This window comes from Homo sapiens, chromosome 10 (genome assembly GCF_000001405.40).
Source record: "Homo sapiens chromosome 10, GRCh38.p14 Primary Assembly".
Classification (NCBI taxonomy): domain Eukaryota; kingdom Metazoa; phylum Chordata; class Mammalia; order Primates; family Hominidae; genus Homo; species Homo sapiens.
In genome coordinates this window covers 76,868,886-76,887,546 of record NC_000010.11, presented here as the reverse complement: position 1 = coordinate 76,887,546, position 18,661 = coordinate 76,868,886, and the positions used below count along the sequence as shown (strand labels likewise).

The 18,661-nt window shown below is 41.6% G+C and overlaps 1 protein-coding gene across 53 annotated transcripts in view; it reads left to right on the top strand.

Moving 5' to 3' along the window:
* The window catches only part of KCNMA1 (potassium calcium-activated channel subfamily M alpha 1), a 768,207-nt gene extending 750,262 nt beyond the window's left edge, over positions 1-17,945 (top strand). For 18 of the 53 annotated variants that reach the window (NM_002247.4, XM_006717826.3, NM_001161353.2 and 15 more), the window contains one exon: positions 32-2,665. In NM_002247.4, the coding sequence (NP_002238.2) occupies positions 32-281 (250 nt within the window). In that variant the 3' untranslated portion in view covers positions 282-2,665. Of the gene's footprint in view, positions 1-31; positions 2,666-9,653 lie in introns of those variants that run through there. The other 35 variants (XM_017016222.3, NM_001322832.2, XM_047425199.1 and 32 more) reach the window with 3 other exon arrangements.

Genomic DNA, 18,661 nt, shown 5'->3' with positions numbered 1-18,661 from the left:
AGGAGGTGACATCTCTGCTTTCCCTGTCCAGGTATGTCATCACCAACCCGCCCTATGAGTTTGAGCTCGTGCCGACGGACCTGATCTTCTGCTTAATGCAGTTTGACCACAATGCCGGCCAGTCCCGGGCCAGCCTGTCCCATTCCTCCCACTCGTCGCAGTCCTCCAGCAAGAAGAGCTCCTCTGTTCACTCCATCCCATCCACAGCAAACCGACAGAACCGGCCCAAGTCCAGGGAGTCCCGGGACAAACAGAAGTACGTGCAGGAAGAGCGGCTTTGATATGTGTATCCACCGCCACTGTGTGAAACTGTATCTGCCACTCATTTCCCCAGTTGGTGTTTCCAACAAAGTAACTTTCCCTGTTTTCCCCTGTAGTCCCCCCCTTTTTTTTTACACATATTTGCATATGTATGATAGTGTGCATGTGGTTGTCATTTTTATTTCACCACCATAAAACCCTTGAGCACAACAGCAAATAAGCAGACGGACCAAAAGTTATTTATGATTCTGGGGGAAAAATAACCCAAAGGCATGCTCCAGACATAAATAGCTCACTGCAGGAACGAGTTCACAGATTAGAAGGGAGCACTTGTGATCAACGTCAGTTAGGCAGAGCAAGTTTATTTAATGTAAAAGAAAAGTTGATTCTGATTTATCAGGATTATCAGGGTGCTTTGGGTTTTGATTTTGTTGTTGTTGTTGTTTTCCTTTCTTTCTTTTTTTATACACACAATAAGTTAGCACATGTTTATTTGAAACAAGCAACCAAACAGCAATGAAAACATATTGATTGTTTCCAGTCTCTGGGCCGAAGTATTGCGAAGCATTTGAAAAGCTTTCACGATTTGTGTAGATGATTATGAAGGACCTGCTTGTTGCAAGAGAACATCAGTGATTTTTTTAGTTACTCACCAAGGCCTTTTGTCCCAGAGCCAGTTCCCTCTGGGAGTTCTTATGAACATTTCTCACCTTAATATGGAGGAGAGAATAGTATTCCAATCATGGATGTATCAAATTCTAGTCATTTAGTTTAAGTGAAAAGAGGTTTGATTGCATATTAAATTGTTATTCTGTCTCCTTATGTTGCCATATGAATAGCTATTTTTTTTCTTTCACTTTTGACATTTGGGATGAAAAGCCATATGTATCATAAATATCAGATGTAAGTCATTAAAAACTGCCTTCCTGGGACTTTTACATCTTTTAAAAGGTGAATTACTTACCTTATGTACAGAATAAATAATGCTCAGGAAAGAGCAAGTATTTTTCCATGCATTCTCAGGGGATCTTTTTACTCCCCTTTGTTTGATTAGTTAGGGCCCCAATGCCAGGTAGGAGGAAGGGCTGGGGCAATGGTAGAGTGAGAGGAAGACAAACCCAGCTGCAGATCATGCTTTTCTAGGAGCCGACATGCTAAATAAATTAGAATGTAGGAGGATCAGCCACAGTTGACTCAACAAAGACAAAAGCCAGCCACCACCTTCAACTGTTGGCACAGCTGTGCGGTGCTGGCTGTCCCAATGCAGAAAGCTGGTGGGAAGGAATTCCTCATCATCACTTTCTTTAATGTAGCCAATTTAGGCAGGGTAATGACGGCAATAGAGAGCTGCTCCTTGTCATTATGAGACGTGGGATAAGAAGAGTGCAACAGTGAGCCAAACACATTTTGGTATAGTTATTTTTTTCTTCTTTTGTTTTCTTTCTTTTTTAACACTTAGTAAGCATGAGAGGAGAGGTAGAAAAATACCCTTTTTTCAACATATAGTTGTCAGATGCTTTGTGCATGCAAATCATGCTTTAGGCAGTGCGGTATTTCTTAAAAACTGGCCAATTCACCATAACCAATTTCCCTTATGGATGGACTAGGCTGGTATATACATATTTGAAAAGTTTTACTTCAAAGAATTCCATCGAATAGAATAGGGGTAAAAGGGAGGAGGAAAACATGTCACAGCTGTACCATCTCTAAAAAGGTGTTTTTATGGTGAATGTTTTGGATTTAGATTTTGGATCCCCCGTCCCCTCAAGCATGATAGTTTTGGATATTTGCTTGCTGTGTGAATTGACAAGCACTTTTACTGACAAATGGTGAGGCTCAGTCAGAACCTCCACCCTCCCCCACACCAAAGACAGGGGCAGCGTAGTATTCAAACCAGTATTGTGGTGGGGAATAATTGTATACATGTAAATTATCAAGCCCTATGAGTGGAAGAATTTTTTCAAATTATTTTTGTCCCTCTATATATTGATTTATATTATGTATAACTATCTCTTTATATAAACTATATATAATTATATATATATAACTATATAATTATATATATATAACTATATATATAACTATATATATGTATCCCCTAGTATTGGATCATGAAGAGCTCTTCATGCATTCTTTGCAAAGGAGGTTATAAAGTTACGCCCTCAGAACATTTATAACTATAAGAATGTGCCAGTTAAAGTGCTCAACAGGAAATATGACAGTTTAAAAGCATTGTAAAACTCACATAGCTTACTTCTCTCTCTAAAGTGCAACAAGGATGAATAGAATGGGCCAAGGTATGACAATTAATGGTTCTGCATGACCTAGCCACTGCTGGGGGTTTTCTTCTATAACGTTGTCCTTGTGAAAACTTTTGTGAAATTAAAAAAAAAGGAGTTACAAATTTTATTCTGTTATTGGTTTGTTTATTTTTATTTATATTGTTCTGTTTGTGGTTTTATTTATTTTGTTTTGCTTTTCCCCCCCTCCCCTTTCCCTCTCCTTTTCCCTTCCTTCTTCTCTTCCTTCCTTCTTCCACTTTCTAAATTGCTCAGCGCAATGAGGCTGTGCTGCTGCTATCGCTAGATTCCTTAGAGTTTGTTTTGGTGTTCTTGGGTGTGGGGTTGGGTAATTTGGGGGGAACTTCTCTCCATCTGGCTTGCCTTTTAATCTGCACGTGGCCTCCCTGCCCACCCTGGTACCTTGCTCCAAGTCCGAAAGCATTTTCCTATCAAGAAACCCAGCTTCCTTCACTTCCCCCATTGCCACCCCCCAATCCCAGTCCCCCCATCGGTCTGTTCACATCTCTGTGTTCATCTTGGCAAGACCTACTCAATCAAGTGATGATGCCAGTTGATAAACTTCCCTGGAAAACATTTACAGCTATTCCATTTGGCAAACTTGCTTCTCTGTCAATATTTCATCCTCCTTTAAACCAGGAGGGTTATTAATGGCAAAAGCATTGGTCTTCTTTATGCTTGATCAGTATGACTCAAATTAAAAGTGTTCTGCTGTGTATATCAACTCAGTAGCCCACACCCAGTTATCTGGGAGCTGATGGTTCAGTCACTGTATTACCCAAATCTTTCCTGCCAGCTGCCTTTCAGACATTTGTTAAATCCCAACCAGAGACCGGGCAGATAGAGAGAAGTAAATCCGAAGTGCGTTTTATATACAGTCTGTTAGCAACTCCAATGAGATGATATTGTGATGGGAATGGAATGGGAACAGACTATGATAAGAGATGGAATTTTGAGGTTTTCCTGGACTTTGGGCACACAGTCATGCCCCAGTGGTAGATAATTGAGAATTCACCATATTTGACTAATGATAAATTTGATGATGGAGAAGGATCATTACTACTTCAATTTTATTTGCCAAAATTACTATATTATACTTTCCTTAATAGAGTGAAGAGTCCCCTCCATTGTTTTCTATTTGACTCCAAACTTCCCCTTCCTCTTTCAGTAGAACATCTGCTTACTTAGGAAGTAGGCATACAAGTTTCTTATTATTATATCTCTTCCTGTTCACTGCCTCCCGCAAAAAAAAAAAAAAAAAAAACAAGGAAGTAAGGGTAGAAAGTGAGAGTTCTTTGAAAATAAAGTATATACATTTAAAAAGTTAGGAACTCTGTTATCTGCACCATTCTAGAAGAGAAGAAATTTGTAAGCCATTTAGTCCAACTTGCTTTGGGCTTTGAAAGGGGTGAACAATAAGTAGGCTGGTAAACCAGAAGGCACGGTGAAGCCTTCTCAGTCTCAACACTTGGGTGATCGTGGCATCATCAGTGTCCCTAAAGTCTGCTACCCAGGTTCTTCCCAAAGCCAGTTCAAATGGATGGAGAAAGCTGGACTCTTATACACACAGTTAAACTTCTGCCACAATTGGGAGAGGTTTCAAATTCTGTTCTGAATATTAAAGATTATGACCCAGAACCTTACCATCGGTGCTCAATAAATATTTGATATAAATTGACTTTACACATTTTTATACCTTTAACCATTTTCTATATTACCCTTGTCCTCTTGGTTTGATTTTTTTAAAAAAATATGAGTGCCTCTACATGCCTTATGATGCTGCTGTGTTGGTGGCACTTTCTCAAGCTGGTCACATGGCTTCTGAGAAAGGGGAATAGCCCTGTAAGCTCAATGAGTAGAGACACTGAGTATGCCTCTTGGCAGCATCATCAAGATCCCAGATGACCAGAAAAAGCTTTTGTCTGGCTCTTCTGCAGCATGGGAAAAGCCTAAAGGTGTCTGCATCCCAATAGAGACAATTAAATCAACCTGCCAGGTTCCTATAGCAACAGGCTCCTTGAAGGAGAAAGAGGAGAGTACAGAAACTCCAGGGCCTGTGGAAGTCAAGACAGGGTAAAAATCAATTTCTCAATCAGCTTCTTTCAGCCCATCCCTGCTTTGTCACAATATGATAAAGAAGTAGCTGTGGGCACCTGTCACTACACTGGCTGACTGTCTCCCATGCAAGATTGCATGCCCATTGCAACCATTGGAGGTGAGAGGGATTATCCGAAAGGGATTAGTGAAGAATCTGTCCTCAGGGTGTTGGCTGGACCAAGGGCCACAGAGGAGGGCTGGGAGAGCAGTTTGCTCAAAGAATGGCAGCATCAGACTTTCAGTTAAAAGAGACAGAGTCATGGTAGCCAATTGCAAAGAAGTGAGAAGGTTTTTCATAAACGGTAATTGCTTTTGTTCTGGTACAAATAATTTGTATCTCTATGAAATAAGCATACTTTGCTCACAGAGAGGAGAGGAGGTAGTATGTGTGGGTGGGGACGGAGGAGGCATCAGGGTTTGCTGGGCAGAGGAAGTGTGCCAGGCTGCCTATCACAAGCGCGGGACAGGAAACCACACAGCATTACCCTTGAAGGTCGAAGCTCCTTGTTAGCCCTTACTGTTCTCCACGGTTGTCTCTCTCCAAACAGCATCTTTTCTTTTTGAGCCTTTTCTCTCTCAACCTCAGCTTGTGGTGTAGTGAGAAGAGGGCCAATTATTCCAAATGCTTTTGCTGTATCATTGTCTCCCCTTTTCTGCGATCTTCTCAAGGGAGTACTGTGAAAAGGCTAAATCCCATGGCACTGACAACCCACAGAGCCAACAGAGAAGCTCAATTATCACAGTGCAGCCTGTTTCTTCCTCTGCTGGTGGCAGCTCAGTCAGCCCAGCTCTGGGGCCCTTCCCTGCAAGAGCCCATTCCTCCAGGGTGACCTGCAGCCCTGTGGCTGGAGGAGGTTTTGACCCTTATTTTAAACCCTGTGATCTCAGTGATGAAACTAGAAATGCAAGAAACAGATGGCTCTCAGATGGGATAGGATGCCTGGTGAGTCAAAGCCAGTATTTCAGAGGCACAGAGTCACCCTGGGAGGGGAAAAACCCTAAGCTCCCCAGAAATAACACCAGGTTACCTCTTCCTCTCCTTTACCTTCCAAATGAAGATGACCAACCAAATCCCCCTCTGTCACCTCTGCTGCCACAATCCATGTTCTTCAGGATACACCCCGATATACACACCCCTGTTCTCTACCCCCAGAATCTCTGCTGAAGGGCATCATTTGTCATCACATTCAAGAGGTACGACCCATGCTTACATCATCCTTTAGTACTGATAGTACTCAGGCTAGTACTAAACTTACTCTAAAAGCTAACGCTTCAGCAATTGCCTTGGGCCAGGCATTCTCATGAGCACTCTTTAGTTACCTATACAAACTCAATCCTCACAACAGCTTCAGATGGAGATGCTGTGTCTCCATTTGAAAGACACAGAATCTGAGAGACACTAGAGTCTGTGAAGTTAGCCACTGTGATATAATGCCCGCTGATATTATTCCAAATACTCATAACCTTAACAACTCACATTTACTTACCATGTATCTGGACCTGTGTAAGTGCTTCAAGGGTACTGGCTTCATTTATCTAAACAACACTATTAGGAAGTTTGTATCATCAGCCCTATTTTACAGAAAAGGAATGAAGCTAAGATAAATTTGCTAATAACTTGTTCAGAGCCATGCAACTAGTACGTGAGCTAGATCTGCTTAACTTTCACCTCCTGCCCTGCGCTGTCTCCTTAGCCCGCATCTCCTTGCTTCTTCATGGTGGACAGCTCATAGCATAGCTGGTCTTGATAGGTGACATCTGCCAATGGCAGTGGCAATTGCTCTACCAGCATCTCTCTGCAGTTGTTTTCCAGAGTTTTATCTTGTCCCACTAGCCCCCTCCCAGCCACAGACTGAAATGACTCTTCTTTCCTAACTCCACGAACTCCTGACATGTCACACATTGTACTCAGAGCACTGACAACAGGCATCTCATCCTTAAGAAGCTTATTAAGAAATAAGGCTATTTTTCTCTGGCAGCGAGGAAGCCCTCCCACCCCGATCAATTGCCCTTCTCATCTTAGAGATGAAAATAAAGCCCCTGGAAATCTTTCTGGTATGTGAGATGAAACAGGGAGTGGAGATAAAGTCAGGGATTTGGATTTATCCTTGTCATGGCAGCATTCATTAGAGCTGCTTCCCTGAGTCCTCTTCCTCGTGGTCAATTTTGTAGCCACCCATTGGCATTGTTTCTTCTTCAGAAGGCAAGATTCAATACATCAAATTATCATTGTCCTACTTGCAGCACTCTCCATGGATGCTGAATGGCTGGCGATCATTGAAATGTGTGTTCCTTGGAAGCATGTTGGGAGAATCTGTTCGTAAAATACCTTTGCACCAGACATTTTAGTAAAACGCCCAGAGCATTCATACAGTTCCGTTTCCTGAACATCCTACATAACCAAGTCTCCAAAAACACACACATTTATATCTTAGGAGGCACCCAAATTAAACAGCTGTTTCTCAGGCATAAGGAAGACCTCAACTCCTCACCACAATGTGTGTTAACACAACTCACTCCTTGTGTTGAGGCAGCATGGCCAAAACATGGGCTACTCTGCTTAGATTTTTTTTTTTAATGGCAAGAAATGTAAAAGGAAAGAGAGAAGTTTAAATGAGGAAATAATGCTCTCTTTCTTACAGACAGCAGAAGGAAATTGATATTCTCTCTGCCGCGAAAGGTCAAAATGCCAACTTTGAATTGAACTGTAAAGACTAAATTCCGAACAATTATTCTCTTCAGCAGTTGTAAAAATTTCAGCAAATTGCAGCTGTCTTAGGTCTTTCACCCAAAAGACCTACTCATTTCCATCAGCTGAGTTCACTCTTCCAACCTGGCATGTCCAACCTAGCACTAAATCCCTTTGCAAAGTCAGTCTGCATAACAGCATGGCCAAAACCGAGGGCAGCTCAGGCAACCTGAGCACAAACACCAGGCTCAACCTCTCTGAAAATCATCTTTACACATAAACCCCTGGAAAAAGTCGTAGTGTGAAATTGTTTCAGCGGCCTGGCAAAGCTTTTAAAACATGATAACCATCACACTTTACTCCTCTCTGAAAGGTTAGTTTAATCGTAGATCACAAAAAATTGGTTTCCACAAATGCATAATGGTTCATCTATGTCACACTTGAACTAAATGGTTTTTTAAATGGAGCTGAAATTATTTTGATGTGTACACAGTCCCGGATTTCTATACAACCTTTTTTAACCAGCCCATCAGGAACCTTGCCTCTAAAGCCTCATTAATAATTCAGATGTGCTGATGACTTTAAAAGATCTATGGAATTGAAGCTTAGGGAAAAAAAAAAAACTCTGCTTGACAAAAAGATAAATGAATGTAGAAAGAAGCTGTAGGAGTCTGGCAAGCTGTAGATCATCTCAGAACAGATTGTAACTTTATCATTCTGTCAGGGGGAATAATTTAAAGCACTTAATCAGTTAGCTTCACTGTGAGGATGTAGCATTATGAATTCCTATCGTCCAATCTGTTCAAATCAAAGTGAACTTAATTATAATAGGTGAGTGAGCCAGAGCAGGAGAGGGGGTGGGGAGAACGAGGCAAGAGGCAGCAAGTTTCCTGTGGGGTAAACTGAGCTGCCGCATTAAACTGGGGCGAGGCTTTGACTCAGGCATATCCCAGCTCCAGTGACAGCCCTCCTCGACATTGACAGCTCAGGGCACTTGAAACAGCAGAAGTAGGAACTGAGGAGAAACAAGCAGAGTGGTCATGAACTGATCATAGATAATTTATAAATCATTAGCCAAACATGCACATACCCCACCCCCAACGCCCCCTATCAAACCAGGTGAGCAGTTTTCACTAATGTGTCCATTCAGGACCACTGACAAGGCAGTTACAAATTGTTCTGGTAAGCAGAAAAAGCAGCTACAGAGGCCATTGTCTCTATAGCAGTGGACGTGCTTGATAGCTTTTACCCTTTTTCTTTTTCTTTTCTTTCCCTAAGCCACTAAAGTGAGGCATATGATTCCCAAGTTAGAATGTCCTATTTGCCCAGTCCTTTCCTATCTATACACATGGCCAATTTCCCAGAAAATTTCAATCCTAGAAAGAGGTGGGGATGAGGGTTGAGTCTTGTAAAATAGCTTTGCACTGCTAAGAGGATGCTAGACCATTTTCATTCTCACCCCAGCCCCCAAACGCCCTGACTCAGCATTCTCTCTCAGCCATTTCTGTATTTAGGGTGGAAATGAAATGCCAAGACTTCATTGAGCTCCCTTGTCGACAGCTTGGGTTATTATAGTCAGTTAAGATATTGCCACTTGGAACTCTATTCATAACTTTATACCAACACAGAGTTTTCTTTCTTGAAATAAAAGCCACCTCAAAATCCTCTTTAAAACATTGGTCGCTATTCTGATTTTCATAGATTTTTGGCCAGCAAAATCTATGGGTTTAGTTTAGACCCCCCAAAGTGGCTACAAATGAAACAGGAGAGTGGTATAGTTGAGACATGGCTTTAAGTGTGTGTATTATAAGCAAAGCCAAGAAAAGGCTGGGAGGTGGTGATTCTGTGTAAGATTCTGGATCACTCGCTCTGCAGCAAGGGTGATGGTGCCCTTCCGTTCCACTCAAATCAATGGATGCACACATCTCTCCTCAGGCACAATGTCTGTACCCAATGGCTGATATATGCAACATCCCCTCCCCACCAAACCTTTTCTGGCCATGAAATTAACTCCAAGGGACATTGCCAGAGTCCATTCTCCAATCCCTCCTTAGCCTCTGAGGTCCGCCCATGGTGCCTATGAGTCCCAGTGGCACATTTTGTTCATCACTTGCTACAGGAAGCAGAGGTATATTTCAGGTTCTGGGGTCCTCCCTACACTGCACTGTCTCTCTTAGCAATTACTCACTGTCGGCTTCTATCGATTACCTTTTTGCGTTTTTCAATGAACTTTCCAAAGGCTTTACCCTAGGACTAATTAAACTTCTCATTTCTCCTTCTTGTTCTCTATCCATTTTGCCCTTTAGCAGAAAAGAAATGGTTTACAGATGAACCGGATAATGCCTATCCCAGAAACATTCAAATCAAGCCCATGAGTACCCACATGGCTAACCAGATCAACCAATATAAATCCACAAGCAGCTTGATTCCACCAATCAGAGAAGTTGAAGATGAATGTTGACTCCCAGGAGACCAGAACTATTTTTTTAAAGCCTGACAAACTTCATAAATGGTGATGTGACTTTTCTTCTTACATGCTGAATCACTGGTGGAAACGTTAGGATAAGCAAGAATTGCCAGAAAATAAAGTAGACAGATCTTTCTCTTTGTCTGCCTTGAATATTGCTTCCATGTATTTTGGAAAAGAAAATGATTTCATTTATAAATGAACATACTAAAATAGTCATGTATAGCCTCTAGCATTTTAAATTATTTTTATTTATTAGAAAGAAAATATATTTTTTCTTTTCATTGTCAAATATCTTCCCTATATCTAAACAATGCAAAATCTAAATGAATAAGTGGTCAGACTCCTTAATGTGTTTTTCTCTTCTTTCTCTCTTTTTCTTTGAGGAGAATGATGGTCACCACCACAATTAATTGTAATTAAGGGAAATGAATTATTAAAACAATTTTAAAATGGCCAATGATGTATACATGTATTTTAGTAAATCCAGAAAAGAAGACTAAGGGGACAGGTGAATACCTGCTCCTCGCCTGGATGGGTGTGTATTTTGATCTGCATTGACACCAGCTCTTAATAAATGGAAACTTATTTATTTTCACAGTTGAAAGTCATATTTTTGTAGTTCTAGTTTTCATTCTGTAGTTCTCACCCCTTTGTTCATATTTTTAAAGGGAAGACCTTCTGCTGCTTTTCTACAATTGGCAGATCAGGTTTGTCTGGCCAACTAAGGACACCAGGAGGGTTGTGGGCACACCTGGGATGTGGAAGCTGAGGACCAGATGCACACAAGGCATTGCTCTGTTTGCTGTTCTAGTGGTGGAGACTCCTACGTGCTGTTATGCTTCTCATTTTATATTTCCAAACCACCTGAGCGAGTAATGTCAACTTCGGGAGGGTCTGGTGGACTTTCTCCCCACTCCCCAAGTCTCAGAGCTTTTAGCCTGGAAGTTTGTAAAACTGATTAGTAGTTTTACTTTACCATAGGATGTGAGAGGGCAGTCATTCTTCTCACTGAGTTTTTGTTTAAAAACCAGGAAATTTCTACAATCATGGAGACAGATTTTAATTTGCATGCTCTCCTTTATTTAGTTGCTGGGGCCAAACACATGAACTTGTTACAACAATTTAAAAATAATAATAACAAAAGGAAAGCAACGAATGCACTTCATATAGACTGTTAGAAAAGGCCTTTGAAAATTACCAGCAGTGAAATCAAATAAATTAGCCACTTTAAACTGCGGTCAAAAGATTTTTCTAGCCATCAGATGCAATTACGATGTCTCAGAGCTCTGCTATCGCTTGCATGCTCGGTGTACAGTCTCCCGGCAACTGTTTTGTTCCAATCAACTTAGCAAGTCTTTCAACTTTAAAATTATCAATCTTTGATATGATCATCAAGGTCTCTGGAGAAGCATGGATGTAATAGTGATTTCTATTTTCTTAAAAAATGTAAACTGTGGACACTTAATGGAACCAAGCTAACCAAAGTATCTCCCCGAAGTTTCATGATATCTAGTCCATTAACTCTTTGGGCCATGACCTGTGGTACCTAGTTATGGTAGTGCAAATCAGATCAGAGCAAAGCAATGAGATCATCATGAAGACATATGTCCACTAAGTACTCCAATTACCAGCGTAGGCAAAATGAGCTTCCACCTCTGTCCACTCCCTGCAGAGCCAATATAGTCGTGCTTCCACCTCGTAGGCATTGTCCTGCAGTGATTTGTCGGACTGTGGTTACTCTGTCGTCACATTTTGTAGAATTAGTTCTATAAAAGTATTGTGAATACAATGTATGTCCAATTGGATTGTTTAAAAACTACTTATAATTAATCACTAGCCTACTCAGCAGACTAAAATGATGTCAACAGTCTATATTCAGGCTTATAAACATTTCTTGGTTTCCAACAGAAGTCAAATGTGTTTGTGGGGAGAACGTTTTGCTAGGATTTTGACAACTTTCCTGAAAGCTAGGCCTTTTTTACATAATGATTTTGCATTGGGGTCACCTTAGTATATTCACGTCAATCCACGCTCTTCTTTCCTTCGTGAACCATAGTGGGCTCTTCACTCCTGCTCGTAATAACCACCTCCAAATTTGTTAGAGTGATTTGGTCTCCTCTGGCAGGCTGTGGTGGCCACATAAAGGATCTTCCATTAGAGGGACACAGGACACAAAGCTCCATTCCCATGACCCTCTCTTCCCTGTGTCTCCCCTAACAAGGCAATCTGGAAGCAGAAATGCAAACTCCAGCCCCACCACACATCCACCGATGCATTTGTGGCTAGAAATTTTAATCTAAACTTTTTTTAAAAAAAATCATAATAGTTAGGATAGTTTCCTATAGCAAAGGGCTCCTTGATTCATAAGCACCTCCCCCCCAAAAAAACCAAATTGGTAAAAATTCATTTTCTTTTAAATAGAGCAATAAGTTCATACTGTGTTGCCGTTGTAATAATGAATTGTTCTGGACTAGAAAACAAAATGAGGCATTTTGTTAAGGGGGTAGGAAAATGACTGATTGTTGGGCCCTTTGGCAAAAGCTGGTGCCTGGTAAGTAGAAACGAAATGGAAACAGAAATAACATTTGTGAAATCACTGGAGGGCTCAAGCAAATGCCAGAGCTTCTCCCTGGCTTGTTCCTACTTGTTGAGCTCTTTGGCCCTGAGTCCCATCCATCTCCACTGCAACAGTCTGTCTTTCTGCCTACATCCGCCTGAGACCAAGGAGGGTCTTTGGTACAGTCCACATTATGAGGCTCTGATTTCCTATCCCAGTTTAGGGCTCCAGAAAAGCCATTCTCCCAAACTAATGATTCTTGGGTGCTGTGGGTCACCAACAGGCTGTTTACAAAGCAGAAAATATCATCACCATCATAACCTTTCTCCTTGAGAAAACTTTTATTTTTGTCTAAGCAATTTTATATTTTAGAATATCATCTTGAACCATTATAAAACACCTTAAATAAAAGTGATTGTGACTAAGGCACGTTGGAGAACATTCCAATCTTTCCTCCCAAGGGTTCTGGCACCTTATGATGTACTTTGTAAAAAAATTGATTGAAGATTTTAAATAAACAGGAAATTAGAAGTGTTAGGGTTAGATAAAGGAAAAGTGAAAAAGCATAAGAAATTTGGGACTTTTTCATGTTGAAAGGAGAAAAAGCACAAGTTCCCTAGTTACCATTTAATATGAGGGTGCAAGAGCCACATTTACAAACAACAAACTTGATCTTTAAAAATGTTTTTAAAACTCTCTGAGTCTCAGTGACTTCATTTGTAAATGAGAGTGATTCATCTAGATGACTCTAAGGTCTCTTTCAGGTCCCAGGGGACGTGATCTAAGTTAGGAGTGGGAACATGGGAGTGGCTGCTTCTCCTTGGCTAAGCCCATGCAGACTATTGTGTCCAGGACTGGAATAAAGGTCCTTTTTGCTGCATCACCCAGGCAACACTCCCAGCCTTACTCAGGAGTGGTGAACATTTTCTGCTCTGGACATAGAATAGGTAGGTTCATTCCTGGTCTTTTCACTTTAGATTCTCTTTAGGTTCAAGATGCAGATTTCTCAATTTGGACACACCTGCATCACGTTGGTCAAATTTTGCTGCCTGTTTCTAGGGTTTTCTTCTCAGTTTCATCCCTGCCTTCCCTTTTTTGTTGTTTTTTTTTTGGTTCAAGGCCCAGCTTCAGTTAATCCCTTCATCTCTATGCCATGTCTCCAATTCCTAGTATGTAACTAGAGGTTCAAGAGACCCCAAATTCCTGCCATTTTCCCCATTTATGTTTCCCCATGTGAATCTTCAGGAAGTAACCAGTCTTCCTTCTCACTTCATTTCCTGTCCTCTGTTTATTTGGTTATTTTCTTTCATTAATAAACTAACCATCTCTTAGCTACTTACATTCACAAATGTAATTTTAATCTATTGTGTTTCATTGTGAAAGAGAATCTCATTGAAGGAAGGAAGGAAGAAATTGAGGAATAAAGGTAGGAAGGGAGAGAAACAAAGACTATCCAACCAATTGACTGAGATGTGAGCCGGCTTGACTCCTAGGAGACTAAGTAGATCCATTCAGCTTGAACACTGAGTTCCAGGGCAGAATCTGTCCATTTTCTGTTTTGTTCTTACTTGCTGCTTTTGGAATGGTGGTAAAGCCACCAGTCACCATGAGCCTTGAAAGGACCTTCACTAATGAGGACTTGACTCACCCTCTTTAAAAAGCAAAAGAAACAGAATTTACTTACAATCTTCTGGTAAATTACCTTTCTGATCCTCTCCTTATTCCCAAAAGGCAATTTTTTTAATCCAGCAGAGATGATTTAGCATATAAATCCCAGGTCATTTGAGGAGGTGATGACGCTATTTGGATTTATTTATGAGACAGTAGTAATTATAAATGATTCCTAGGCAGTTTGTACTAGTTTGGTCATATTGGTTGTTTAAGTGGAGTCTCTTCTGATTGTTTGTTTCCAATAAAGTATCAGTTGTTAATAATTTCAAGATTTCCATAAAAATAAGAAAACTTGGAAAACATTTTTAATTTTATTTCTTAAGAGACCACAGAGCCTAATTTTCAATTTTTATGGTAAGCTTGCTTAAAACATGTATAAAAAGAAGCCTACATGCTCAAAGGCAGAGGCACCTTTAGCCCTACAACAGTTGGAAGCTCCATGATATCACAGCCCCACATGGATAGATTGGAGAAAGAATTCTGACTTAGACCACCTGTAGCAGACCTTCCTCTTTTGGCATATTTTTTTAATCACAAAAAGGACCTGAGACTCCCTATCTAAAGATAAGCCAAACTTGGGGTATACATTAAGAATCTGGGAAGAAAGAAAAAAAAGAAAAAGATATAATAAGCAGTATTTTAAAATACCATGAGTTATGGGCATGCATATGGTACAAAGAGTAGTTCTTTGGGTTGAAAGAAAGAAGAGTTTGCATTGAACTGCGTAGGCTGGCAAGAATGCAGAGGTATACAATGTTTGATGGGCTTTGGAGGCATTTCAATAGTAAATGGGTGACAGGACTGGAAAGATGTGGAATATGAGGGTTTTCCAGGGAGATGGGACTTAATGGGCCATGATGTATTTGTAGGAATGTGATTTCAATAGATTGACTATTTTGTCTACTGTGATAAGTTTGTGTAGGGGAACTGAGGAAAACTGAGATGAGACTTCATGGAAGGGGCTACAAAGTACAGTCTAAAGGCCTAGATAAAGTTTGAAACTTGATTTAGAAAGTCATGAAAAGCCACTCAGAGTTTTAAGCAAAGAGTGATGGGGCAGCAATGGCTGTGCATTTTTCAGGTTGAAAGTAGTGAGATGTCAGTTCTTCCTGGAAGATATCATGAGAATGCACACAAAACTGAACATTTTCTCAGCAGCAAGGAGTGCTAAAGGGTGCACACTCCAAGTCAACAACTCACCGTGTGCAGCACCTTCCTCACACATTTTGCTTTGCTTTCTGTCACAGGACCATCAGACGTAGAACGTCCTGACTCTCCTGAATTACTAGAATGTCAGCAACAAACTCACAAAGTAGATTAGAGGGTAGGAATAGATACATAAATTTTTAAAAACCTGCCAATCATACTGTTTTCTAGACAGTAATATAATAAGAACATGAGGCAGGACATCCACAAATAGTAGAGAATAATTAATAGTCCAGAACTGCCAAATAGGAATTCCCCTTATGAAAACACCCTTGCAGCTAATCAGGTAGCCCTTGTTTAGAAACCAATTAGCACTCATAAAATATTTGTACAAGGAGTGAGTGGGGGAGAAATGAGCACAATATGGGTTCTGCCATCAATCAGCTTATAATACAACTAAAGAAAGAAAACATGCTCAAAGCACCATTAGAGAAAGGGTGAGCCCTAATGACATAGTTTCACATTCAATATGGTAGGAGTTGAAACAAGGGAGAAATGCTGTGGTTTGAAGTGGTTCAACAAGGTAGGATTTCTAGAGAAAGGGGGGTTTAGGAGTTAGATAAGTAGAGGATCAGCATTCTAGGTATGAAGGCAGGATTATCTGGCATGTGGCAGGGTGAATGATGTTAATCAGTAACTGCTAATTGATATTTACTGAGCAGCTGCTGTGTCCTCACGATGGTAAGACTATTAGAGGAAGACAGCCCACCTGCCTAACTGGGAACACAAGGCACACATATATTGGAAAGATCATGTTGCACAAAACAGGTGTTCAATAAATAATTTTTGAATAAATGTGAACACTGAATAGCAAATAAATGTTATAGATCGTAATAGTTGTAGAAGATTGGTTGGGATTGTAGGGACTGGATGTGGGGCAATGGCTGTGGGTCTAGAGTATATTCATTGTGCAGTGGACACACACCTAATCTGTCCTCAAGGACAGAACCATGTGGAGGAATAGGAAAACAAGAGAAGCAGGCAAGAAGCGGAGGCAGTGAGTACAGCAGCTAAGAAATGTTACATTGGGTTCATCCAGAGCAAGAAAAGCTGAGAGCTGTCCGTGAGGGAAGGCCACACAGGCAAGAGGAGTGGGACAGGGGAGTAAAGGAGTGGGCTACAACAGGCCCTGCAGATGTGGAAGCCAGACCCACAGAGGCACTTAGAAAGTGAGGATCCTGGATGAATTATTTTAGGGAGAAAGTGTAGGTTTAGATCAGCTGGCAGATGTGTTTGTGGGCTACAGCCAAGTTTTTCAGGACTAAGAAGGAGCAAAATAAGTAGAACTTCTTGGGACAGGAGATCTAGGGTACTCCAGAACCAGGGAAATGAGAAACAAGAGGGGAATTTTAAGAAAGAGAGGGAAGATCATCTATGAGGTTGGAGATGAAAGGTGTTGGAGATGGTGAGGCACAAGTCAAAAGACTCACTCGAAGGGCAGGAACTCTGCTTATTTGTCCATATTCCCAGAGTTTGTCATGAGGTCTGGCCCACGTGGGCAGTCACTCGGCCACTATGTATCACTGTGGCTGCCATGGTGGATGGAGGCTGGACAGAACCTGTGGTGATCGGCAGTCTTTCTGGAGGACTCACCAGGGAGGGGTCTCAGGGTGGGCATCTCCTTTCACCTTCCTGTGCATGTCACTGCACTGTTCTTCTTCCCTCCCTGAACAGCACACACACTGCATCCTTAGTTTCAGGGGTCTGAAAACAAATGCTACGACCACCTTGCTTTGGTGGCTTTTCTGAACAGGCATTGTGAGAAGAGATGTTCTGGCCAGGTGAAAGTGGACTTTATTTTTAGGTAGGTTTTTCAGTTTAGAAAGGTTTCCTTTGCTTATCCCTTGAGGACTTCTGTGCTGCTGCTTCTCCTCCATCTTGCTAGTTAACAGAACAGGGGCAGAAGTGACACCAATGCTCTCGGCCATGCCTGCCTTGGGAAGCACTACCGGGCCCCACTGTTTAGAATCTTAGATGGAAATGTACACAAGGCATTGACACACGCCTGCGGGAGTGACCCAGTGCTTCCCTCCCATGGGACTCAGGGTCAGCGTGGGAAGGCAGCTGGCAGGGACAGGAGCCCCGCCCGCAAGGTGGACTGAGCCTCACTTCCACACAAAACCAGAGTCCCATCTGCCCCAGAGCGCTCGCTCTCCTCCCCTTCCTTCCGCTCAATGCAGCCTGACACGCCTTTGACCAGAACTGCAACATTTCAAACACAAACCCAGATCTGTTGGGAAATCCTAATTAAAAACGTTGCATTCCCAGGTGGCACAATCACATCCTGCCTAAAACTTCTGGCCCACATCCCACCACCCAGATGTTGAAAAGAAACCTTTCTCTGCTTAACACCAAAACCTGCACTTCAAGGTTTCTTTAGGGGACAAAGAAAAAAAAAGTACACACATGCAGAGTTCAGCCTACATGTTCATTGAGGAAAAAGAGCGTGGCTTATTCATCTTTCAATCTTTTGATTGTTGGCATTATGATTATGATTATGATTAATTACTCTGACCTGACAGGAATTGAAGAAGAGACTATATGCTGGTGCTCTGAAATGATCTACCCAACTCTGTCATCTGTAACAACCAGTGATAACTCTCTTGTCTTGTAAAAAGGGTTTGTACATAACTTGTACATGGTTTCATTTTGTATTTTTCGCAGATTAAAAATTTATGTATTTGTGTTCTAAAACAAGGAGTGTTTCTTGTGTCTTTGTAGCAGTTACATGCCATGGGGGTGAGAGGTGAGCTGGGGATGGTGAGGTCCCTGAGTTCTAATCAGGCAGCTTTTGTCTCCTCCCTTCATGCTCCTCCATGAAGGCAAAGTTGTGGATTGATTGAAACCATGAGCTTCCCTTTGCAGCTTCGAGTGCAAATAGACCTCCCCACCTCCATGGTCTTCAAGGAGCCAGTCAGTGGGTGCTGCCCAAGACTGCAATAGGCACGGCAGAGAGGAAGAGCTGCTGTCATTCAACGTGGTGCCTGAGAGCCCTACGCAGCCACACTGGGGCCAATGGGACAGGTGCTCCTGCAGAAGGCTCCAGCAAGCCGGCCACTAAAGAAATGCACAGCATTCAGTAGGTCCTTGAAAAGCTAAAGCATTTCTCCCCTCAGCCACCCACTCTCAAGCTAGTTACCATTTCCTGCCATTTGCACAGACAAATGGTGTTCTTTCCCCTGCATTTAGCTTATCAAAACCCAGGACAATGTGTTAAAGGTTTAACTCATCCTGCTCCACGCTCATCCCCAACAGGGCAACAGATGGAACTTTTAAAAGCCAAAAAAAAAAAAAAAAAAGCCCTTAAAAATGAATGTTGCCATGTTGGGCCATGCTCTAAACCTTCTTCAGAACCTTCAGAGTTTGCACTCTTTTCAGGGGCCTGGACTCCCAAGAGTAAAGCTGGTCCA